Below are 26,385 nucleotides of genomic sequence, written 5' to 3' on the forward strand. Positions count from 1 at the left end.
GCCTAGTGAAGCCATGGGTGTGGGACTGCCACTGAGACCCCAGAAATATAGGACCACCAGTGTGCAGTAACAGTCAGGGAGAGTTGCAGGTATGAGACTCTAGCATGAAAGGGCTGAAGTGTGAGCTGAGCCCAAGAAAGCTAAGGGAAGAGGACTTCTTGAGGTTTTTGGGGTTCATTCCCAACCCCAGTATGTCCAGGAGGCAACACATAGAGTAAAAGATTATTCTACAGTCTTGAGATTTAGTGTCTGCTCTTTTGGGGTTTCAGACTTGCTTGGGGCCCATTACCCGTTTTTTCCTGTCTGTCTCTCCCTTTTGGAATGGAAATATTTACTCATGCCTCTTCCACCATTATATTTCGGAAGTAGATAATGTGTTTGATTTCACAGGCTCACATCTGGAAGGGGTTTGCCTTGAATTTGAGATGACTTTGGACTTTGGGTTTGGACTTTTGACTTGGTGCTGGAACAGGTTATGAAATTTGGAACTATAGGGATAAAGTGAATGTACTTTGCATGTGAGAAGGACATAAGTTTTGGGGACTAGGTGTGAAATGCACATTGTACCCTATAAATACGTATAATTATGTGTTAATTTTTTTAAACTGAAATATTATACTGCCACAAAAATATGCTTCCAATATGGTTTTCATAACATGAGAAATGTTTAAATTAAGTGTCTGTAAAAGTTGTTTTATAAAATGAAGAAGAAGAAGAGAAACTTGAGCTGGTACACACTCTCGTCCTCTCCCCATGGGATGCCCCCACCACGTTATGATGCGACAAGGCCCTCACTAGATACAACCTCTCAACCTTAGACTTCCCAGCCTCTAGAACTGAAAGAAATAAATTTATTTTCTTTATAAATTACCCAGTCTGTGATGTTCTGTGATGGCAACAGAAAACAGACTAAGACAACCCAAATGCCCATTAACTAGTGTATGAATAAATCAATTTTAGTATATCCATACAATGGGGTATATTCAACAATGAAAAAGAACAAACCACTAGCACACAATGACATGAATGAATCTTAAAAGCATTATACTAAAGTGAAAGAGCTAATTACTAGAGAATACAATCTCAGACAACCTGCTGCCCAAATTTTAGCAAAAGCTCTGTTGTAAAAAAAAAAAAATTGTATTTATATTTGAACCATACATTCAGTCTGCCATTTCACTTATCAGTGATGAGCATACAATTTTGCCCAAGCACAAGTTCCAAAAAAGAAAAAGAAAAATATTTGTAGGCTACCATTTATTTTATAAATTTTATGTTTTCTTTCTATCGAAAGTTTAATATCTGCAACTGGCCTTAAGCATTCATTTAACATTTCTTTAACTGAGGATTTCAGATTATTTGCCAAAATTTCTTAAATGACACACAGAGTACATAGTACAGTATCTGGTTTCAACATTTTGCCGTTGAATAGATGTTGTTGTTGGGTAAATTATTCACATGTCTTCACTGTCCCACATAACTTAGACTTTATCTCTGTGTCACATCCAGTTGCTTCCCACAAGCCCCTGCCTCCCTCGCCTCGGTCCACCTTCTCTCTCAGCAAGCTCTGTGGTTAACCAAACTGTCTACAGCCCTCCTGATCAACTGATGGCTCACCATAGTGATGCTCACCACAATAATCTTATAACCCTGTTCTCAGTTCCAGACAGAAAAAAGGAAAAAAAGGTGCATATGCTTTCTTCACTGCAGCCAAGTAGAAATCCTCATCTTGAATAATAATATGGGTGAATTAAGCACAATCAGAGAGAAAACCACTCCAAAGCCATTCTCTTTGGTGACTCTTCTCCTTCCTTCTAAGACTCTTTGTCTACCCTCAGCATCAGCCTCAAGATGAGGGCTAAAGAAAAATTAAACAGGACAAACTTTTCTCCACTTCTGGAAAAAGCAAAATATCCCACAGTCATTCATAACTCGATCTGGAATACTCCTGAATTGTTACTGTAGTTGCAATTTTTCTAAATCTCTTCAAACACTGCTAGATCAACAAGTCTAAATAAGTTCTAAACAAAATAAGAAAGAACAGTTGAAAAAGGGAAAGAAGGAAGACGGGAGGGAGGGAGGGAGGGATGGAGGAAGGGAGGGAGGGAGGGAAGTCCTACAAGGAAATTGTTGTTCCACATACATGACATTTCTAAGCGTTCATTTTGGATTACTCCTTAAACGCCTTGAAATGGGCTTTGAGCATTTTACAACTAAGAGAACTAAGGTAAGACAGGTGTCCATACATGTGCTAAGTACTCAGATGTGACTTAAAGAATCGATTCTCTTAATCACTCATGTTTATGTAAGCAGCACATATTAGAAAATGGGTCCCAGTGCTTTGGGAGGCTGAGACAGGAGAATTGCTTGAGGCCAGGGGTTCAAGACCAACCTAAACAACAAAGCAAGATCCCCCCACCGTATCTAAAAAATATTTGTTTAAAAAATTAGCCAGGTGTGGTGACACACTTCTGTAACCCCAACTACTTGGGAGGCTTAAGTGGCAGAATCACTTGAGCTCAGGAGTTCAAAGTTACAGTGAGCTATGTTGCACCACTGCACTCCATCCTGGGTGACCAAATGAGCCCCTATCTCAAAAAAAAGAAAGAAAAAGAAAATTAAGTTGATCCATCTTAAGAATAATCATGACTCAGCTACACTATTCTTCCACTTTCTCATCTCTATTCAGATCAGTTTCAATTAAAGGACAAATTTTAGAGACATGTATTGTGTCTCAGCTTACAGAGTGATTTTTAATGGACAAATGCATGTGATTGACTGCATATTGTTTTTATTGCATGTAAACATAGCATGTCTAAACAATGTAAACATAAGACAGACAAATTATAAGGCTAAGGTAACTCCTGTTAAGGAGATATGTATTAAATTCATCAATATCTCTCAGCAACTCACAAAAAGGCTATGATTCCTGGGTGTTCTGTTGCTTGAGTATGTTTAGGAACATCTGCCCCAATAATCCCTATGTCTATTCTGCCAATTTTTTCATTCTCTTCCAGACCTTAACATCCACCCACAACCCCTCATCATTCTCTTCTTGCTCCCCAGAGCACCTTTCTGAGATGAAGGCCTCCAACGTGCATCTTTTCCTCAGTTACAACCCTTCTTTCTGCCTCAGAAGCACTCATCCCCACGTCTGCCCTCTCACCCTCTGCCACCTCCTTGAAACCATGCGTGATTCCCTTTAGCCTTGGTATCTTTCATCTCATTTTCTTCTTGGCATCTTTCATCTCCTCTTCTCTGTGGTACCCTACTGCTGTAAAAGAGATTTGTCCATCTAAGATGCCTAGAAGTTAAACATCCCAAGAACTCTTTATCCAGCACAAATGTGTACAACAATGTTTTGAGAAAAGTGACTCGAGGAATAATGCTCCTTGTCTTTGTTTAGCAACCTCTCCCACAACATCAAGCAGCAGCACACTTCAAAATGTGAGGACCAAGGGTGACCTGTCTGCCCCAATTCTTTTAGGCTATGCTGCTGTGAAAGGGTGCACAGGCTAAGTCTTCTCAGGCCTCAGGATACTCTTGAGAGCTACATCCTCAGTGCTCACATTGCCATGGTCACCTCATTGTGCAGATGAGGACAGCTGGGTCCTTTACCAAAACCAAAGAAAATACTTGTTTCTTTCGATGGCTGAGTCTCAGTGTTTTGTCGTAGAGCATCATTCCCAATCCTTATGGTAACTGCTACAGCCACGATTGCATCTCTCACAGTCAGATGCGATGACCAAGCAGTCAGAACCTGTCACTTCTACTTCCTCACCTCTCCTTGCCTCCTAAGCCTTTGTATTTTGCTTCTATGACAATAAAGCAATGAAACTTGATCTCTGCAAAATCATCTTCTAATCATTTTTTGAAGAACGTCTCCACTCTTGGTTTCCCCCACATTTCACTCTTCTGGTCATTTACTTCCATCTTGGTCTCCTCTGAGACCCCTTTTTCCTTCCCCCAAGAAAATATCCCCCAAGGAGTTGTCTTCAAATCAGCTTTAGCAAAATGACACATATTGGCCCAAGTGACTGGGAAGGGGAAGGGGCTACAGGACCTAAGGCCCAGGAACTAGAACTGAACTCTCCACCTACCAGGACTCTCACTGTCTACATCCATCTCTCATCTCTGCTTGCCTCTGCCTCTGAGTATTAGCCTCATCCCCTCCTACTGCAAAGAAACTTTGCTTATATGGTGGGGAATGTGCCCAGGTGCAGCGCAGCCATGAACTCCCAATGAAAAGAGAGCACTTTCTTCTCCCTTGTTGGCTGAGGCTCTAGGTAGTTCCAGTGTCTTGATGCTGTCACAGAAACCGGTGGCCTTAGTACAGAGTTCCTCCAACAAAAATGGTTACTGTATGCTGACATATCTCTGAGAAAATCCTAGGAAAGTTGAATAGGTGACAAAACCTTGCAAGGTGCCCACTAGACACTGGAAACAGCAATAACTCCTGATGGATGGGAGGGCTCAGCTCTTGCTAAATAATTTATCCTTCACACTCCCATGAGAATCTTATCCGAGGCTTTCCAGAACAGTAGTTTTCCAAACTGGCATTGCCTGTACACCTGGAAACTTGCAGAAAAACCAGAGGAATAAGTGAGAGAATAAATAATAAAAGAATCGTAACTTATGAAGACTTCCTTGTAGATACCAGTGATTATTTGGGGGGGTTTCTTGCCCAAGAGAAGCCACAGGTAAAGTTGTGAAGTTGAGAAAGATGTTATTTGGTGTCCTACCCTCTTCTTTCTGTCTCTCTTTTCCTCATCCTCTAGACACCCAGTGACTCCATGGTACCTTTCATCATCAAAATCAAGGACTATACATCCGAGGTCTCTCTAATTTTTTTCCCAAAAGAAAATTCCCTTTTATGGTGAAATAATCTCAGTTGGCAGTAAGGAAAAAGAACCTCATAAAACTAATTCACATTAACGTGTGCATGCCTAATATACCATCTTTCCCTGGTTTGTGTTTCTGAATCCCAGGTTATATAGACTGAATCACCAACTATCTCAAGGACTCCACAATTTCTATTTCTGGACTTTACCTTCAGCTTCTTCCTGTGAAACTGGATCAATATATCCAATTACCCATAGGCATCATATTTAACATCTAAACTCATTGTCTTCTCTACCTGAAAAATGCTTGTCTTTAAATAGTGTCATTTTGGTTTCCAGCAGAGGCATCCACCCATTGGCCCCATCAGACCCTGGAAAGTTTTCCCAAACTCCTCTGTTTCCTTAGCCTCTCACCACCCCCAACCCCAATCAGAGATGAACAGTTACCAAATCCTACTGATTCAATATTTCCCTATCCTCCAGACCCACTGACGTTTCAGGACTTCATTATTTCTTGCTTGAGTTTTAACAATAACATTCAACCATCATAGCATCTCCACACAACACCAACCTGATCAAATCTGATCCGATCTCACCCTGTTACCAGAGGGAGCTCCCTAAAACCCAAAATCGATCATTTCACTCCCTTGCCTAAAACCTTGAAATAGCTCTCCATTATTTGGAGAAGAAAATTCAAATTTCTTAAAGGCCTTAAATCCCTTCATATTTTGGTCCCCGTTTATCTCTTTGGTCACACGTTCTTCTGCCCCCCTGCCCCAGAAACTGTACTTCATGTTTCTGCTTTGCCAACGGTTCATATTTTCTGAGCATGGGATGCCATTCTGTGCCACCGTGCCCATGCACACACTGTGCTTTCCAGCCAAAAACCCTTCTGCTTCCCAGTCTTCCCAGTAAACTTCTATTCGTCCTTTATTTAATGTAATTATTTGTTACTTACTTATTTATTTATTTTGAAACAGAGTCTCGCTCGTCACCCAGGCTGGAGGGCAGTGGCATGATCTCAGCTCACTGCAATCTTCGCCTCCCGGTTTCAAGTGATTCTCATGCCTCGGCCTCCCGAGTAGCTGGGATTACAGGTGCCAGCCACCACAGTCAGCTAATTTTTGTATTTTTAGTAGAGATAGTGTTTCACCATGTTGGCCAGGCTGGTCTCAGATTCCCAGCCTCAAGTGATCCACCTGCCTTGGCCTCCCAAAGTGCTAGGATTACAGGTGTGAGGCACCACACCCAGCCCAATCATCCTTTAGTTGGAACACCAATGTCATCTTCTTTGGCAACCCATATAGGACCAACCCTCTATCGAAAAACAACTCAATGTCAGTTTCTTTCATCTTGACTCTGTACTTCATATCTATTTATATTGTTATATTTGTCACACCGTATTGGAATTGTTTTTGTAGACATGTTAAAAAAAAAAAGAAATTTCTATTTAAAACCACAACCAACTTAATTGCTTTTGCCCTCAGGGAGTGGCGTTATTTTTCCCCTGAGTAGAAATGTTTGCAAAATACTTGGAAAGGCAGTATTTGGTGCAAGGGATAAGGTCTCCAGGACCTGCATTAGCAGACAACAGAGAAACAAAAAGCTAAACCATACTGCAAATGGAAGGTGGTAAGCAGGAAGGGGGACAAGGTGAGAGCTGAGGAAAGATGGAGTCAGGGGCAGAACTACCAGGAAACAGGCAAGGAGCCCATGGAGAAGTGTTAGCCTCTGACGATTCCTCAATGCCAATGGTGGCCAAAGAATGTTTAAGAACAGGAATACCTACTATTAAGTGTGGAGTTAATTGCACCATAGTGCTGCTGAGTAGATCCCGCTGTCACTCTACATCCCTGGTGACATCTAGCGCACACGCAAATGCCGGGTGTGCTTTTCCCACAAGGCAAAGCGTCTAGGTCAGCTCAGAGCAGCGCCGTTTGCAGGAGGTGGGCCGCGAGTGCAGAAGATCAACACTGCAGCACCTTAGGAAGCCAGCGCCCTAAAGGAAGGCTAAGATTCCCTAAGGAATCCCCACAGGTATGGAGGGAAGGCCCACTGGGTGGTTTGAACCAATTATTGACTAAATTTCAATAGACATGATGACCCCAGCTGACAGGGGTTGAATTTGCTAACTTTTTTTCTGTCTCCCTTCTCAACCATGAGCATCATAACAGAAAGAATGGTGCCATATTGATCTTTCACTCCCCAGTGGGGAACATGGTGCTGCATGTTTAAAAAGAAGGTTTTCAGAGGATATCTAGAAAATGGAATCTACCTTACCGGGTTAATGTGTCAACCTTCTAGAAGTGCATATTTTTCAAAAAGCCCTCAAAAGTGATGTCTTAAAGAGAGTATTTCAGCAGCGCACAAAAATGTATTTTGGAGGCAGAGTCTCCTCCCAGTGCCTCATAAATTACATCACGTAGAAAAATGGTCTGTTTTGCTAAGCTTGAGTTGCAGCCATAGCTGACATTCCTGGAGCCATACAGGGATAGGAACAAAGAGCGGAGGCACTGGAAGTGGAGGAGGCAAGTTTTCCTAAAGACATGAAACAGCACACCCACAAAGACAAATGGTCACCCGCTCAACCCTACTGCCCTTTCATGTATCAAATTCAAGAAGTTTGGTGAAGACAACGGATTTCAAATAATCTTTATATTAAATATGATCGTCATGCAATGTTAACTTTTATGCATTTAACCTTGAACCACTACTAGTAAAATGAGGGTCATTTTGGAGGCTAGAAATGTAGGTCAGACATCTCAGTTTAAGTTTGTGGAAGGAGCACTCCACCAACACTGACTTCCTCCCCTTGGGGTTACTGTAAGAAGTTGTCTGTTTGGGTCAGATGGTGAGAAGCCAACTTTGGGCCCCATAGTGCTCTTCATTGTCTCCCACACAGGGCATGCAGCAGTCAAACCGAAACAGCATCCTTGCTGCTTGCTTTCAGAATCCACCACATGGGTGAGTCAGAGACATTTCCCACCCTGCATCTTCTGCTGTCATCAAACACATTGTTTAGCTGGGCTGGCCACTGGAGAAAGCAAATTTTCTGTAATAGACTAATTGAATTGAATTGGGGCCTAGACACAATGAACCTGAATTATGGCTTTGCAGAAGGAGACATTGACATAGAGATCACAAATGGGTAGATCATACCTAATAATTGCTAGAGTGAATGCTCTTCCAGCCTGGAAACAGAATGCTTAGGCTAATCAAATATCCAACTTGATGAAGAGTTACCCATGCAAGAAAGATTTTTCAAAGAAGAAGAAAGCACTCAGATACACGTAAGCATACTATTAGTTTTCTATTGCTACTTTAACAAATTACCACAAAGTTTTTGGCTTAAAACAGCACACATTTCTCTTACAGTTCACTGGGCCAAAATCAAAGTGTCAGCCAGACTTTTCACCTCTGGAGGCTCTAGGAGAGAATTATGGTTTGCCTTTTCCAGCTTCCAAAGCTGCAGTCTTTGCATTCCTTGGTTTGTAGTCCCTTCCTCCATCTTCGAAGCCACCTCTGTAGCACCCTGTTTCCATCCTCACATTGCCTTATGTCTCTGTAGTCAAATCTCCCCTGCCTCCCTCTCATGCAGAGTCCAGTGATTACATTCAGGGCCCACCCGCATAATTCAGAATAATCTCCCCATCTCAAAATCCTTGATTAATTACATCTGCAAAGTCTCTCTGGCCGTATAAGGGAATATTCCCAGGTTCCAAAGACTAGGACATAAATATCTTTGGTGAATGTTATTCAGCCTAGCACATCATGCAGGAAAGAATTTTTTTTTTTTTTTCTTTTGAGACGGAGTCTCGCTCTGTCGCCCAGGCTGGAGGGGCAGTGGCGTGATGATCTCAGCTCACTGCAAGCTCTGCCTCCTGGGTTCACGCCATTCTCCTGCCTCAGCCTCCCCAGTAGCTGGGACTACAGGCGCCTGCCACCACGCCTGGCTAACTTTTTGTATTTTTAGTAGAGACGGGGTTTCACCGTGTTAGCCGGGATGGTCTCGATCTCCTGATCTCATGATCCGCCCACCTCAGCCTCCCAAAGTGCTGAGATTACAGGCTTGAGCCACCATGCCCGGCCAAAAAATTTTCAAATAAGAAAATCAGATACACATGGGGCTGTAACACAACAGAACATTCCCTTGATTATGTAGAGAACAGTATCTAAGGTTGTCATTATGAATATCAATTCATCACCACATTCTAACATAAATTTATCACCATATTCTATTCTAACACAGCAATGCTTGTTAATACAGAGTGCTGATAAATAACTGAAACCAGAGGCTCAGCTCTATTTTACTTCAGAATAAATTATGAAATGTGGGCTTGTTTTTCATTCAGTATCTTGGGGCAAATAGCAGAATCTGAAAATCTGCATTTCCAGGAGGCAAGCATTTTCCTGCCTTGCATAAAATATGTCTTGAAGCTCCTTATTTTTTTCTGAAAAATGCATGTATGTGGGCCCCTTAATTATGCAGATGTAAACAGACACTTGAAAAGCCATGGTTCCCGGGGACTAAATTGCTCTTTGTAAAAGGTGATGTAAAAGGTCATATATACTGTAGGCAGAGTTGCATTTCTTCAGACTATGCCCTTTGTAGAAAAGTGTCTTTCTAACTAATGATATATACTGAGTTGTTGTGTACTGTTGCTGATTATTATATAGAGGTGTGTATTTTCATGCTTTTCATTTTAGTTGTTGAGATAGCCAAAATTGCAGCAAAGATATAAAGGCACAACTTTGAACTCTTGCTGGATGATAAAACAAAAAATAGAATTGGGTTAGATATAATCCAGCTTCCTTAGAAACAAATATCAAGCTAAGTGAACATTTAGAAAATGTAGGCCAGGTGTGGTGGCTCATGCCTGTAATCCCAACACTTTAGGAGGCCAAGCTAGGAAGAAGGTACAAGGCCAGGAGTTCAAGACCAGCCTAGGCCAAATAGTGAGATTTTGTCTCTACAAAAACAAATAATCAACCCATTGTGGTGGTGCACACCTGTAGTCCTATCTGTCCTATCTACTCAGGCTGAAGCAGGAAGATTGCTAGAGCCAAGGAGCTCAAGGCTGCTGTGAGCTGTGATTGGGCCACTGCATTCCAGCCTGGGCAATAGGGCAAGACTTTGTCTCTAAAACAAAAAGAAAGAAAAGAAAATGTAATAATATTGGGCTATGGCAGTCTAAAATAATTGTTCTTGGAACCTGATGTGATTACTAGTGCCATGTAATAAATCATCCCAAAATTATATTATGTAAAACCAAAGCCATTTTATTTTGATAACAAAAATTCAGGAAGAGTTCAGCTGGGCAATTCTCTTCAGATCTCGTGAGCAGGCAAGCATCATAGGCATGTAGTTTGTGTAGCAGTAGCACAGGGCCCTGCACTTAAAAGGGCCCCACAGTTGCTTTAATGTTCTGTTTGACAGTCTTAATTTTTGTAACAATAGGCCCCACACTTTAAGTTTTGCACTGGAATCCACAGATGATATAGCTCGACCTACTCATGATGTTGCATTCAGATATTGGCTGGAGTTTCATCGACTGAAGTCTCAGCTAGGCTGGATGTCCTTACTCTTCACATAGCTGGCAGTGGATACTGGCTATTGGCTGGGAGCTCCTGTGAGACTGCCAACCAGAGCACCTACAAGTGACCTTTCCTGGAGGGAAAATGTAGTTGGACTTCTTGCATCGCAGTTGGCTCCCCAAGAGTGAACATTTGAAGGGAATAAGATGGAAGCTGCATAGACTTTTATGACCTAGGCTTGGAAATCATGGAGCCTGACAGAGTTTACCAGGCCTCTATCTGCAGGTGGCTGAGTGGGGCAGGAATTGATGTCTAAAAACAGACAGTTGGTCAAAGTGGTGAACAATTTCAGGAAAAGTTTAGAGGAAATGAGGATGTTGCTTAAAGCTTCCCAGAAAACCCTGGGGACAAGGGCTTGGTAAAGGACTGGACTTCCCATAGGCAAGCAAGATGAGGGCCATTATAATTTGAGATATTGATGGAAGCTGGCCAACCCAAGGATCTATTGGTTAGCTTTCTAATGAGCTTTCCACAAAGCTTAAAATGTCGTAATTGTATGACTAAGCAAATATTGTAGCTTGCTCTCCCTGACCATTCACAGAAAAAGTGATCCTCAGAAAAGATGCCATGGTTTAGAGCCTCTCACAAAGGGAAGTGATTTGTGGCAGATCTCCCACAAAAGGCAATGGAGCTTGGTGATGAAATGCAGAAGTCTACCACCATATCACTATTATAACCTTAGGAAAGATACTATCTCAATCTGTGCCACAATTTTCTCATATGTATAATGGGCCTATTTAATATTTCCTACCTCACAGAGTTATGATGATGATTAATTAAGTGCATGCATGTGAAGTTAGAAGTGTGTTTTCTGTTGTAACCAGTGAGCAAGTGTTAGCTTTTATCACAAAGCATTCTAGTACTAATGAGAATCATGGAGAATCCCTTGGTACTCATCTACTGTACAGTAGAAGTAATTATATCATTGCTTCACCCAGCAAAACTCATTTCCATATGGCAAGAACCACAATTCATTCCAATTCTTAAACCGAAATCATAGTTCTTAATAGATCTCACAAAGCTCAGCAACACAGATCCGAACAGAAAGATCTGTTTTCTTTTATATTTAATTCTATTTTTTCTGTACTTTCAAATACAGCAGCCAGAAGTTTGGCATCCCATATGTAGACACACTCAATATCAAAAGGCAGAAGCAAACCTTGCTTTCTTAATGGATCCCACTTGGGGTTTGAGGTGACCGCAGAAGACAAACAGGCTTTTGACAAGTGGTCTGTGGGAAGTCTGAGTGTTTTTTCCCTTAGAGGTTGAGAAGCCCAGGAATGTGAGATCAGCAGATGCCTGGGACCCTGGGGAACTCTTGCCTGATGGATTAGTATCTTCAGAATACTAAGCACTTTTCCATGAGCATGGTGTCCCTTACAAGGGGGACAGTCGCACTTAGATCCCACTCCAACGTTCAGCCTGCACGCCCCATCCAAGCAGTGCCTCCCAGAGCTGATTTCTGTCAAAGCCATGAGAATGTGGTTGTGGGAAATGGTTACAGGGCTTCTGGTGTTGTCACCACTATAAACAAAGTCTGGTCCTCACCTCAGGCCATACAAAGGGCTGCGGTGTGTCACCTATAGATAGCACGTAACAAAACCACAGAGGTAAGCCAGTGGAATCAGAAGGCTCCGAATATGTTCACAGCCACAACCCCAGAACAACTCATAAACTCATTTTTGTCTAATGCATTGATTTCTTTGGCTTTCAAAACAAGAATTTAAAGGTGGAAACATTCATTCACAGGCTCTGCATAACCACTAAGACTAAAACAGCTCGTTGGAACTGGGAACTGCCCTAAATGCTTTACATGTATTATTTCTTTTAATCCACTTTACAATCCTATGAGACAGACATTATCACCCCGCTTTATAGTTGAGGAAACTAAGACTCAGAGAAATTAACTAATTTGCCCCAAGGTAGGCCATAGATATGAAAACACACACACGCGTACAGAATTTTGATATTCAAGGCAACTATCCATATGCAAAGACATAAACTCTTCTGTTTGTATCACATAGTTTATAATTTTAAAAAGTAATTAAAACAGTTACAAGCATTATTTAACTTTTTAAAGTTAATAATTATTCTTTTATTTTTGGAGCTAAAGGTCCAAAAATAAAAGAATAACTAAATAAATTCTGGTTCATCAACTTGAAAGAATTACACAGCTACTAAAAATCATTGTGAATACTTTATGGAAACATTGGAAATACATAGAGTATAATGTGAAGTTAAAAATTACCAAATACAAATTGCATGTATCTTACAGTTACAGCCTTATAAAATATATATCTGTGAGGCAAATGAGCAGAAGAGAAAGAAAAACATTAATGTGATCTATTATTGTGGTAGAATAATAGATGGATTTTATCTTTCTTAATAATACACTAAACAATACACCTACCATGTCAGTAACTATTCCAAGTACCTTATAGATTATTATTCTATTCTCTCAATGACTTTATGAAGTAGGCGCTATTATCATCTCTATTTTACATATGAGGAAAAAGAGACACAGAGAGGCTAGGTAACAAGACCCAAATCATTAGCAACTAGTACAGCTAGTAAGGTCCAGAACTGATATTTTAACCCGGCATCTGGCTCCAGCGTCCACACACTAAGTCATTATGCCTTGCTCTCTGATATTGCCATGACATCTGTACCATTTAAGGGAAGAAATCAACATTTTGCCAGCAAGAACATCTTGATGCTCAAATCGTGATCATTTTTTATCTTAGTTTTGAAATATGTTCTTCTTCACTACTGAACAAAATTCTCAAAATCAGTACCCACTGAACTGGCAGGGAGCCAGAAATAGGTCACAATTTTTAAAGCACACAGTTATCTAGCTGAACGTGTATCACTCCTAAAACTAATTGAGCTAAAAATATTTTTCTTCCAATTTATACCAGCGGAGTGGGATACGATAGACATCTGGGTCCAGGGGGAATTTTTTAATGAATTGAATCTACAGCTTTCTTAACTTTTCACAGATGGAAAATTGATTTATACACAGGATCTATATACTAATATATACCTGCACTATATATACTATACTATATTATTATATGTATAGAAATTAAATAAAGAAAGCAAATTTGAAAACCATGAGGAACAATATAACTGTGTTTTTTTTTCTTTTATGAATGCCTAATCTGCCAGCAAACTGTGGTATCTAGACATAAAAATGGGTTCTGAGTTTCTTTGGGCCAAGCAAAATGGGAAACCTAAGTCCTCCTGTGCCTCTTGAAATAATGACTACCAGTTACCAAGCCTACTATTACCTGGTTACTGTATTAAGTAATTTACCTTTTTTTAATTTCGATTGCTTTACACAGAGCTCTTTAAAATAGATATTATATTGCATTTAACGTATGAAGAAGCTGAATCTCAGAAGGACAAAATTGACTAAATTCATACAAGCAGAAAATGGTAGAACCAGGATTCAAAGCCAAAAGCTGTCTACATATTAAATGCATATTTTCTACCTCTCCTTTTAGGGAAGGGAGTGGGGGAAGAAAAATCAACTTACTATTTTTCTCACTGTAACTTACAAGTAAAATTTATCACACAGAGCTTTATATATATAGGTGACTTTTATCCAAATTTGGGGAGGTAGGGAACGGGAAAGGAAGAGAGAAACAGAGACAGAGAAAGAATATGTTGGTTTTTTTCCCCTTAGCCAAGCATTCATCAAAAAGAACTGGATGTTGAAAGAAAAGACTATATGCTTTCAAGTTTCCACGTGGAAAGAAAGGTTTCTCTCTCCACACATGATGAAGCAACGTTGTATTTGAACACCTAAACTGCTCAACTTCAGCCACTTCTCCTACAGGAAAAACAAAGGCTCTCCCAGAAAGCTGAGCGCAGAGCAAAAGAACACAGCCTACGCACTCTGCCTCAGCAGTGGCTTCCAGTCACCAAATAAAACAAATTACCCATAAAACAGTCATTTCTTTCCTTTCAACGTATACTGAGGAATCTGGGAACAACTGGACACAGTTCGCCACCTTGTGAGCAGGAGAAGACGTGCAGTTTCCTGAAGGACAGCCAACCCTCAGTGCAGAAGCCACAGAGAGAAGCTTTGTGACTCAGGGCCCCAGGCTCCAGAGCACCACATACGATGTCTTTGGAGATGTGCGGTGCGGGGTTATTTCTGCACTCTCTCCCAGGGCCAGCCTGAGGCCACATAAATAACTGAAATGGGTCTTTATTGCACACACTACAGCATTGCTGCAAAACCCTTATCAAAGTCATGAACTTGGAGTCAACGAACCTGTTTCTGCTACTAACTACCAAGTGACCTTGAGCAAGTCGCCTAATTCCTGTGGGCCACATTTGCAAATGAGAAAGATTGACCAGGTGATCTACAGGGGCTCATCCAGCTCTAAAAATGTGAGTGTGCTGTCGGAGTGAAATTGCTTTCTCTCCGATCTTCTCACTGGCCTTCAGATTTCTGATCTCTTTTGCACTCTATCACCAAAGTTATCTTGTGAAATATAGCGATACTCCTGTTGTTCCTGTAACGGAGCTTACAAAACCATCCATGAGTGGCCCATTTGCCCACTGTTCTTTGTCTACTACCAAGTGAATTCATTCATTTATTCATTAAAGAAATATTTGTTATGTGTTCCCCACCGCGTCCCCATGTCCACACTATCCTGAGCAAATAGAACTACTTTCAGTCCCCCAGCATACCAGGTTTTTTTGTATCTCTTGCCTTTGCTCATGCTGTTACATTTGCTTGGAATGCCTTTCCCACATCTTCCTCCAAATCAATTCATATTCGTCTCAGTGCAAAAGTCATCTTGTTTCTGAAACTTTCCAGGAATTTCCTATATCTTCCTAACATTTCATACCTTGATTACAGTATTTGGCACACTGCCTTGAAAGTACATGTGTACATGTGTAATGAAATGTGAAATAATGTCTTTCTTTTTTTGAGGCAAAGTCTTACTGTCACCGAGGCTGGAGTGCAATGATGAGATCATAGCTCACTGCAGCCTCCAACTTCTAGTTCAAGCGATCCTCCCATCTCAGTCTCCCAAGTAGCTAGGACTACAGGTGTGTGCCACCATGCCTGGCTAATTGTGTGTGTGTGCGTGTGTGTGTGTGTAAAGAGAGAGAGAGATGGGATCTGTGTTGATTAGACTGCTCTTGAACTCCTGGTCTCAAGCAATCCTCCCTCCTTGGCCTCCCAAAGTGTTGGGATTACAGGCATGAGCCACCACACTGGGCTGAGATAATATCTTGATACACTCAGTGGTGCAATTCTTTTCCCCCTGAAATTTCCTTTATGCTTCCCTCACTACTCAGACAGAGGGCTTTTTACATGCACTACCCCTAGGGTACAGCTATTACTGCCCAAACGAACAGAAAACTTTCTTCACACAGATGTGAGCATCACAATGAACTTGTGAAATTCAGAGCAAAATTGTGAAGCTGATAGCTATGAGAGGAAGGTATTTTACATGTTAAGAACCTGAACATTTTAAGTACAAAAGTCAATATTTATATCCTAAGCACAAGATTCTGGAGCAAAGAGATAGAGAAAGAGTTCGCCTCCCCAACCACTCCCATTCCACACCCACCAACAGACTAAACAGGTCAAAATGGGAGCCAGGCTCCTGCTGACTGCCCATCCTCAAGCCAAGTCCTAGGTGGGAGTGAGAACTTATAGCCCACTTTCTCTCTGGTACCTGGGAGGCAGCAGCATTGCCGACGTGCTCTGAGTTAGTGGCATGCTGGAAGTAAAGGAGAAAATGTGGTGTGCAACAGAAGCACCAGAAGACCTCTGAGTTTCCTCAGAGTGGCATGGAGATCAAAATCTGGAAGCTTGCGTGCCCCTAAGATGTTAAAGAGATGGACAAAAGACAAACAGTGACCCCTAAAGGGCCCAGAAGTCAGAGGAGGAAACAAAGTGGCCACCATGGCCCTTATGACCAGGGGCTCTTTGGATGGCCTCTATTAACACATGGCCCTTCCATATGCATTTCTTACTTTTCTTTGTGTCTCCACTGGCTAGCACAGTGGCCAAGAAGTACTTGCTTTGTAAAATAATGTAGTTGGGATAATGAAGCAGGAAAGTGTCACTAGGGAACCTGAGTTCTGTTTGCACCATTTTCCTTAACTCTCTATGTAACCAACCTCCAAGCATCATTAATAACAAAACAACTCTAACACTGGTGCTCTGATGAGGAAATATGAAAAACAAATGATAGGCATATAGAATTCCAAAATGTGTAGGGCTACACAGTCTGTGAGTACAAGCTGGGAATGCAAACAAACACCTGAAGTATTTTTAAATTATTAATACTTTATTATATTAGCACTGAATATATTAATTTTTCTCCTAACATTTTAGATATCAAATATAAAGTGTAGTACATACACACATACATTGTGAATATTTTCTGTTTCCATCCGTGCAGGTCTTATTAAGAGTCCTGTGAAGTGGAGGGAATTGGGGGTCAGACAGGACTTGTTGCAGAGCACTGGGTAAGGAGTGGCATTTCTACAGCTTCTTCAGCTGAGTGGATATGCACCTCTTACTGCACATGGTGGATGACAGGGGTGACGCAGGTGCAGCCAACAGTCACCAGCACCTTCTCCAACTGGAAAGAAACAGAGCAGCCTTGGTGCTTCCTCCGGACGACCAGGGTCTCTTGCTGGATGGGAACGGAATTCATGGAGATGTCTTCCTTTCCTTGAGCATTGATGCAGCCCAAGTTCCTACACTGGGCCTGTACAACTTCCGAGGGGTACCGGTTGGGGTCCCAAGTGACACTGCAGGAGGAGCAAGCCAAAGCACAATGGTGAGGCATGGGGGAGGAAGACAGCGAATGAGAGCCCCACAGCACTGAGTGTTCACCTGCAGGGAGGCAGTTCTGCAGGGCTGTGGCACAGGTTCTGGAGCCACACAGCCTGGAAGCATACACCAGCCTCTGGCAGTGGCTTACCTTTCTAAGCCTCAGTTTCCTCAACTATAAGATGGGGATTTTCATATACCATTTTCTCATGCAACTGTTGAGAATACTCAGTGATACAAGTACATATAAAATACCCCACTGTACAAATGTTAGCATTCAATTAACATTAGATCTTTCATTGGCATTATTATTATTATTATTACAATTCTTTATTCTCTGCCTGGAGATTGAACGTCACTAGTCAGTCTTCCATCACTAGTCGGTCTACAGAGCCTGCTGCTTGGAAAGGAAAGCCACAGCCCCAGAGGTCTGTGAATCTCAGACCTTCTCTCCATTTCTCCTTTAATAGGCCCCTCTGCCTGGAGGCATAAAGACCACAACATTTATCCTGCCAGCTTGCCATTGTACATATTCCACTTGTAGTGTGACAGGACCCCCACCAGGTTACTTGAGGGTGTGTGTCCACTGTCTGAACCCTGAAGGACGGGCAGTGAGCCAAGGCCACCATGCACAGCCAAGGAGCAGGCCACCGAGAACCCAAACATCTCAGAGAGTATCTGAGAACCTACCAAGGAAAACAGTCCCATTGGACACACACAGTAGGCAAAGAGCCAGAAAATTCGCTTAAGAGCAGCTTAGAGATGGGAGGCAGAGCGGATCTCTAGATCTGTCCTGCTGTGGCCCTAGGGCGCCCCATAGTAAGTCTTAATAAACTCATCCACTCGCTAAGCTGGACTTGTCCAAGTCATTCTTTGATCTCTCCATATCTTCCCAGTTCGAGGCAGGGGGCACTACCGTCCCAAGGTTTTCTCATAACACACTCACATGAGAAGCTATGTGACAACCCCAGAAGCACTTCAATTGTCCCTGGAATCTACTTTGATACTTACATTTGGAGAGTATGAGGGAGTGCTTGGTCTTCCAAGAACCTGTATCTTAATGCCAAATTACAAGACTGTACCCTGAAGGTCTCCACCTAACATCCCATTTCCCAGACTGGCCTTTCTCCTCCACTCATTCCCACTCCTTAAATGATAATGTCTAATCTGAGTGAATCTCCTTAAACCGACTTTTCTGTTTCCCATTTATCCTCATGAGGAGATAATTATGCAATCTGCTTTAAAGAACCCTCTCTTCCAACACAGGAAAATTTGTGAATTCTATCCTAGAACTACATGAAGCAGAAAAAGGCACAAAGTCTATGAGAACGTGGAAGCAAAATATTAGGACCATCAACCACAAAGGTGAACCTAGTCCAAAACAAGAAAGATATGAGCTCCCAGGTAAAGTGAAATTTTCATTGTTAAGAGGATTTTCCCTTTTATTTTTTCTATGTATTCTACATTTTCTACTTTATGATTAGAATGAATTAACATATTTTTCCAAAGAATGTGAAAATCAGTCTCATTTGCACTTACGTGTAATTCCAGGGGGAGGTGGAGCGGCTCTCGATGTTACGTGACATGGAAACGCGCTGGTTTTCATTGATGATGCCAATGTCAAGCTTCATACTACCTCCTGGCACAGGCGGGCAACTCTCAGGCTTTTGGAAAAAAGTATGTCCTACTTTGGGGATTTTCCGAGCTGCCGCCTCACTCAGAAAGGCAAGCCCCAATATCGACAGCAGCAAGTACTTGACCTGGAAAATAGAAGACGCTGCAATCAGTTAGAGACTCGCCTCACCTACTAGCAAGAGATGCATGGTCTGGCGGAACTCAGCATTCCTGTCCTTTTATGGGATCAGGGCTTCTCTTTGCACCTCAGTTCCTCACCTGGAAATGGGAACACTCACACCTAAAGGTATCAAGGTGCCAAACTGAGAACTAAACTCAGTAGCCTAGCTAGTAACTGAAGCCCTCCATAGTCTAAAAGCTCCCAAACAGTGAGACAGAAAGATGCAAGGGTCTGAGATTGAGTTAAAATCCTATCCTGGCTTCCTTGCTGAGCCTCTAGTTTCTCTTCCTTCCAACTGGATAATAATGCTCACTTTATGAGACTACTAATGAGATTAAATAGAATGTTCTATATAAAACACCTATAAATCTGTATAAGAAAAATAGAGGCTTAATAAACGATAGCTCTTGTTTTTATTTCCAACTTGATATCCCATGAATCTCCCACAAAATCCTTCTTCGGAGCCACCCCTCTACCTAGAATACACTGCCTAGAATACTCTGTCTGTCAAAATCCTACCCTTCCATTAAGGCCCAGCTCAGATGTGATCTCCTCTAAGAACAGTCCCTAAAATGGTTCAATCAGAAGCATGTTTATTATCCTTAAATTATAAAGCTTTGATCATCTAGCACTCAAGCAGCATTTTTTAATTGTCTAGAAATGTAGTATTTGTGTTCCTGTCAGATCTACACCCATTAGATTGTAAGTTCCTGCATATTACACATTTTCCATAAACACTTTTGGAATGAATGAGTGAATGAGTGAATGAATGAACAAAATGATACAGCTAAATTGAACTATATAGTTAAGCTCACTGCATTAAGAAAAACATTACGCAAAACCAACGATAGCAAAGTTCCAATTATCCATGCTAATTGAAAGAAACCGGGGCACTAATGATGCACCACAAGAGAGAATATGGAAACTATTTCTCTTTAGCTCTGGAGCATTTTTTTTATACTTACGTTGAAATGCCAGTTTATCTGGTGTTATAGGAATGCGCAAAGAATGAAAGTGCACTGAAGACCTAATGAAAAGAAAAGCTACAAATCTTGCCAGATTCCCTTTGTCACAACCATGCTTTGCTCACCCACCATTGCCACTGACCCTTACTGGGGATGAGCAAGGCCCATCACCAACTCTCAACATAATACAGAAGAAGAGCTGAAGGCCGGGTGCAGTGGCTCACGCCTGTAATCCCAGCATTTTGGGAAGCCGAGGTGGGTGGATCACCTGAAGTCAGGAGTTCAGGACCAGCCTGGCCAACATGGTGAAACCTCGTCTCTACTAAAAATATAAAAATTAGCCAGGCGTGGTGGTGCACGCCTGCAATCCCAGCTACTCGGGAGGCTGAGGCAGGAGAATCCTTTGAACCTAGGAGGTGGAGGTTGCAGTGAGCCGAAATTGCACCACTGCACTCCAGCCTGGGCGACAGTGCGAGACTCCTGCTTGGAAAAAAAAAAAAAAAAAAAAGAGCTGAAAATAAGTTGCTTTTATTCTCTAGGCTTAGCGTTGTTCAGGCTCACACCTTCCATGAGTTAAGGTAGGGAAGGTGATTAGACATGTTGGTTTCAAAGGCCTTCCTTTTCATATTTTGCAGATACTAGAGACAAAAAACAATAAGAGTAAACAAAAAGGTCATAGTGTCCATTTGCCATACTGAGGAAGCTGACACTAAAAAGAAGTTGAAAGCAAGATTGACCCAGAAGAGTCAGAATGAGGCTGATTTGCCTTTAGATAATCAGCAATCATCAACTTTCATCCCCCACAATCGTTCATTCATTCAACAACTAGCTCTTGACTTTACAGTGTGGTAGCTCAGGGCATGGGCTTCAGAGTCAGAAGTCCAGGGTCTGTAACTCAATTCCAGGACTCTTAGAAGCGATGACTCTGTTTCCTCAAAAAAAAAAAAAATGTGAAGATTAAATGAGATGATCCATATAAATTATGAAGAACACTGGCAGCATATGATAAGTATCCAATACTGGCGACTCTTGCTAACTCTATATTGTGCTACACAGTGGACTAGACAGATGTGGAATTTACACTCATATACCTTGTCTTGACAAACTGCTATGGCGTTTGTTTGTTTGTTTGTTTGTTTGTTTGTTTTGATGGAGTCTCACTCTGTCGCCCAGGCTGGAGTACAGTGGCACAATCTTGGTTTACTGCAATCTCCGCCTCCCAGGTTCAAGCGATTCTCCTGCCTCAGCCTTCCGAGTAGCTGGGATTACATACGTGCGCCACCACACCTGATAATTTTTTGTATTTTTAGTAGATATAGGGTTTCATCATGTGGTCAGGCTGGTCTTGAACTCCTGACCTCAAGTGATCTGCCCACCTCGGCCTCCCAAAATGCTGGGATTACAGGCCTGAGCTACCGCGCCTGGCCTGCTATGACTTTTTTTTTAAAAGATGCCAACTTATATTAGAGGGTCTTAGATAACTTCCCAAGCCTACCAATCACATATTTAGGGTTCTTAAGTAAATTCCTCCTTTGTGTTTTCTCTTTCCTCTTCTGTGTCATACTCACTGAATCACTATTAATTTTCATTATGAAAACTTTTAAATACATACATTGGAGTTATATGACTTAGCAATAATTACAATGCTTCTAACAAGTCATTATTACATTTGCTTATATATTCTTAGAGTATATTAGAAAATTCTTTTACATCTCTTTAAACACTGGATTTTCACAACTACCTGGTGAGGTAATCAGAGCTAGTATTAATTATCCCAATTAGACAGGTGAAAGAGTTCTGTCCCAGAGGGAATAAATAACTTGATTGGGTTCACCAGCCTATGAGTACCAGTCTGGGGACTCAAACCTAGGTGTCAGTAGTCAGTGCTATTGTCATTGAAGGTCATTTTTATTATTACCAACATTAATCTTAGTTTTGTCTCATTAGAAGAGCTAAGTGTTTTAGGTAATGTGACAGCTGTACTAGATGTGCATAAGTGTTGTAGGTCACATAGCTCGTTATCAGGAAATCAGATGATGTCTGCAAATACTCCAATTTGCTCCACAAAGCTTTTGATCTGAAACTGTAGATTTTAGTGGTTATGTAATACAGAGCAGGGGCTCTGAACCAGGCTGTTGCTGGTTCTTAAGAATGATTTAAACAGCACCTCTCAGAGAAATCCAGAGCATGACTTGAACTCTTATATGCCACCTATAAAGCAGATGAATAGATATCGCTCTCAATCTGTATAATAGGGGACAGGGGCAAGGGAAAGCACCAGGTGAAGGTGAGCTGTAACAGGACAACAACCTTCTCAGCCTAGCTTTGCACCTCACTCTAATGTGAGCTCACCTGAGCAACCTGAACATCCATCCTCTATACTCACCAGCAATGTGTGGACACATGTAAGCATGCACCTGGCCAACCTCTAGGTCCATGAGAATTTGCCTCAACTACTTATTGAAGATGTCCTATCTGCCTGCACCTCTCAACTTCTAATCCTATTCCAATGCTCCTTGCACTGTTATGTTTCTTGCTGACAACCCAACAGATTTCTTTAAGGAAACTAGAATTAGAAATAGCTATGGAGCACAAAGCTACCCAACAGAATTGCTTGGATGCAATGGCTTTAAATTCACAAATCTTGCCTCTGAACCAAAGAAAAGCATACTGTATGTGGAGACAGAAAGCTTAGATTGGTGTACCAGTTCTTGTGCTTACAGTATCCAGCAATGTTAAATAAATAGCTTAATTGAGCTTTTGTTCATCTGTATAAAGTGGAAAGTATTCCCATCTACTTCAGTGGATTGATCAGAATTTCCAGGACAATAATAACAATATTAATATGAACAGTTAACACTTACTGAATGCTTTCTCTATCATTATCAGTCGTTGTTTATTAGAATGGCCAAATTAACTGAAAATTAAGCATACACAAATCTGCCAGTACAGAGTATAGACTCATTTATTCTCAAAGATATTAATTAATCCTCCCAATAAATGCCATGAGAAAGATGCCATTGTTATCCCCACCATACAGTTGAGGAAACGGAGGCACAGAGAAGATAAATAACTTACCCAAAAATCCTACATTTAGCAAGCAGTGGAGCCAGGTCTGCCTGACATCAAAGCCTATGCCCCTAAATATGGCACTTTGCTGAGCTACATGTAATCTTTAAAATAACACATAAATATAAAATAAAACATACCATTGCTATATGCCATGAACCTTTTATGATATTCAAGCTCTTTTAAGTTGTATGGCTTGTAAAAGGAGAAAAAAAGGAAATTATCTAAGCCAATAATATGATGCGGGATTTCCTAACCCCTGTTTTCATGTACCTCTATAGTAAATTCTTCTCAGGCCTTATCTGACTAATGTCAGGCAAGATTCCAGACCTGCTGGGGCTAGATTTTCATTGCATTAACATCTCTCTTTCCTCCAAGAAGAATGAGATGGTACAAAATAAATAAATAGCAATCAGAGACATGGGAAATTTCCCTTCTCTAGGAGCTGTCCAAAGTCAACACTGGGTGATTTCATTTCTTCCATCCAGGGCACTCCTGTAATCTCAGGGGAATCATTAAACCTCTTGAGGCCCCAGTTTCCTTGGTTAAAATGTATATGTACATAATCCCTAAAGTGCTGGCCAAGCTCCCACCATGAGATAAGAATTTCAGGCCAACCTGACTCTATAATGGATGGCCACAGGAAAGAACATGCTAGTTGTCTGTGATGCCAAGGACTGCACACACTAACACCACCTGGGCACACACTAACACCACCTGGGCAAAAGCCATTGGGTGAGGAGCTGCATTTTTTTTTCTTTGAGACAGAGTCTCGCTATGTCACCCAGGATGGAGTGCAGTGGCGTGATCTTGGCTCATTGCAACCTCCGCCTCCCAGGTTCAAGCCATTCTCCTGCCTCAGCCTCCCGAGTAGCTGGGATTACAGGCAACTGACCCATGCCCAGCTAATTTTTGTATTTTTAGTAGAGACAGGGTTTCAAGTTAGTCAGGCTGGTCTCAAACCCCTGACCTCAAGTGATCCACCCACCTCAGCCTCTCAAAGTGCTGGGATTACAGGCGTGAGCCACCAGGCTCGACCTAATTTCTGTATTTTTAGTAGAGACCGGGTTTCGCTATGTTGGTCAGGCTGGTCTCGAACTCCTGAACTCATGTGACCCGCCCGCCTTGGCCTCCTAAAGTGCTGGGATTACAGGCATGAGCCACCACGCCTGGCCAGGAGCTGCATTTTTATGCCATTATAACTTTTCTAGTTATTTTTTTCTTTTTCTCCACCAGACAGGAGTCAAAATTAAAGTCATCTCTGTTTTTTAAGAAGTAATTCCAAAAAGACCCCAATCAAACCTAATTCCTTAGGATTCTGTTTTCTGAAATCCTAGGCATGACAGTCCTTAAACCAGAATGATTGCTGCTACTCACCATGGCTGGGCCATGCAGGGTCTTCACTGTCATGTTGCGCTGGTGGCTTACTTTGTGCAGGAAGCTCTTTCTGTGAATGTATCTTCCTGTGTATGCCTGTGTTCTATCAATGAGAGTACCTGTTAGTTTTATAGCAATCATTGCCCCTGTTTCGATTGACCTGCTTACTGTCTTTAAGTTGTGGTTGACCCGGAGTTACTGACGAATGCAGGGGTTTTTTTTTTTATTCCATTTCCCGAAGGGGAACAAAAGGGGGACCCTAAAGAAAGGGATGACAGGAAAAGGACCAAATTTTTCTTTCCTTCTACCCTACTTCCACCCCCATTGCCCACAAATCAGAGCAAAATTTTTAATTTACTACAGAGATGAACCAAGTTAGAAATTGTTGTCAAATCTTTTTTGTTCTTCCACAAATTGCCAACACCCTTGTCACGGACCATATGTTCTACTTTCCAGTCACGCAATATGAATCGTGATTTAAATGGGAGAAAACTCATCCTTAGAGGAGCCTTGGTACTAAACTATCTTTACCTCCATTTTATGAATGGGAAAACAAAACTAAAGAAATGAATGACATAAGTGAAAAATTCAGAAATGATATACCCTGGTAGTTTTGTTATCTCCCTGAACTAATTATTTTTTAACCCCATGGTTAGACTCCTACTGGTGCTTAATAAATAATCACTATTCATTGTGTTGATAAAACAAACTGTTTTCCTCTGCTCTCACACCACAACCAGCAACACAAAAGATTTCCATGACCATGTATGTGGGCATTTATCTCCATCAACCAGCAAGCAATCAATTCTGCATCCAACGCCAGCTAAGCATCTTCTAATCCAATTCAATTCTGACGCTATCTCCAGGTAGGTAGAGTCAGATCCCACAGGCTGAAGGCTCAGTCCCACAAAACTGCTCCCACTTTAAGCACCAATCACAGGTCCAAGCCTCTGGGACTTCTGACTGACTGGCCTCAAGTTCAGGTTCCCACAAACCGCTTGAGTTTGATTAGGCTTGATTAATTTGTTAGAACAGCTCACAAAACTTAGGGAACACTAATTTATATTTACCAGTATATTCTAAAGGATATTTTTAAGGATACAAGTCAACAGCCAGATGAAAAGGTACACAGGGCAAGGTTTGAAAGGGTCACAAGCACAGAAGTGTTCTTTCCCATGGAGCTGGGGTGCACCACCCTCCCAGCACAGGGATGAGTTACTGTTTACCTTTCTTAGAACTTCCACAAGTTCAGCGGTCCAAAGGCTCTTTGTATCCCATCCTCTTGGGCCTTTTATGGAGTCTTCATTGGGCAGACATGATTACAACATGGAAAACTGTAAACAAATGTGATTGGATAAAAAGGGTATAACCTGATATTAACAGGTTGAATGAGGAAATTCAGCCAGGCCTGCCTGTTCAGATTTTTCTTGGCCTCTCTGAGCAGCCTTCCTTCCTCCTGGGTAGAGGGGAGGACCCTTCCTGAATTGAGGGTCTTATGGCCTATGATTAGACAAGGTAAATCAAAGAATTTCTTTATGGCCAGCTCCAAGACAAAAGGTGTGGGGGGTGATGTTAGATGACAGGATATTTTCTGTTTCTATGGTCTTGGGGAGAAAAGGTGGGCAGGAGAAGTTCAGAGAGGGAGATTCTTTTTTCTGAGGCCTATTTCTTAGGCCTAAAGTGCCCCAACATTACAATAAAAGACTGTCTTTTTCACCTTTATTGCTCTGAAGCTGTCTGAAGCTGCTTCAGGAAACAAAGACAAAAAAGCTAAATACCCTAACAAAAGATATGCTTATTATTTTTATCACTTAGGATATAACGAGGGCTGTGGGAGTTATGAACCAGGAGCCATGGACAAATATACATATATGTAAAATCACATTGATGCAACACTTAAATGCCCATTACCTTGGCTATCTCTAAGAA

At 41.6% G+C, this 26,385-nt stretch overlaps 1 protein-coding gene and 1 long non-coding RNA gene across 3 annotated transcripts, besides 3 other annotated features; one reads left to right on the forward strand and one right to left on the reverse strand.

The window, feature by feature from the left end:
• Positions 7,815-7,914: an enhancer, noted in NCBI's record as "active region_24667". NCBI's record gives its function as "activates an Ori minimal core promoter by ATAC-STARR-seq in GM12878 lymphoblastoid cells {active_cell/tissue: GM12878}" and the evidence as "EXISTENCE:reporter gene assay evidence [ECO:0000049][PMID:35858748]".
• Positions 7,925-8,094: an enhancer, noted in NCBI's record as "active region_24668". NCBI's record gives its function as "activates an Ori minimal core promoter by ATAC-STARR-seq in GM12878 lymphoblastoid cells {active_cell/tissue: GM12878}" and the evidence as "EXISTENCE:reporter gene assay evidence [ECO:0000049][PMID:35858748]".
• Positions 14,265-14,324: an enhancer, noted in NCBI's record as "active region_24669". NCBI's record gives its function as "activates an Ori minimal core promoter by ATAC-STARR-seq in GM12878 lymphoblastoid cells {active_cell/tissue: GM12878}" and the evidence as "EXISTENCE:reporter gene assay evidence [ECO:0000049][PMID:35858748]".
• On the reverse strand, positions 16,741-25,749 carry IL17F (interleukin 17F). Of its 2 annotated transcripts, XM_011514276.1 has the most exons (4): positions 25,683-25,749; positions 24,457-24,559; positions 18,790-19,010; positions 16,741-17,228 (listed from the first exon to the last, which is right to left on the reverse strand). In XM_011514276.1, exons 2-4 carry the CDS (start codon positions 24,487-24,489, stop codon positions 16,991-16,993), a joined length of 492 nt encoding a protein of 163 aa, XP_011512578.1. In that variant the 5' UTR covers positions 24,490-24,559; positions 25,683-25,749; the 3' UTR covers positions 16,741-16,990. The 2 variants fall into 2 exon arrangements, with proteins under 2 accessions (XP_011512578.1, NP_443104.1); NM_052872.4 differs by lacking the exon at positions 25,683-25,749 and having other exon boundaries at positions 24,457-24,560.
• LOC124901328 (uncharacterized) lies at positions 17,146-18,883 on the forward strand. Its single transcript, XR_007059607.1, has 3 exons — positions 17,146-17,257; positions 18,517-18,654; positions 18,802-18,883. It is a non-coding gene; the product is annotated as an uncharacterized LOC124901328 (long non-coding RNA).

Source organism: Homo sapiens, chromosome 6, assembly GCF_000001405.40.
Source record: "Homo sapiens chromosome 6, GRCh38.p14 Primary Assembly".
NCBI classification, from domain to species: Eukaryota; Metazoa; Chordata; class Mammalia; order Primates; family Hominidae; genus Homo; species Homo sapiens.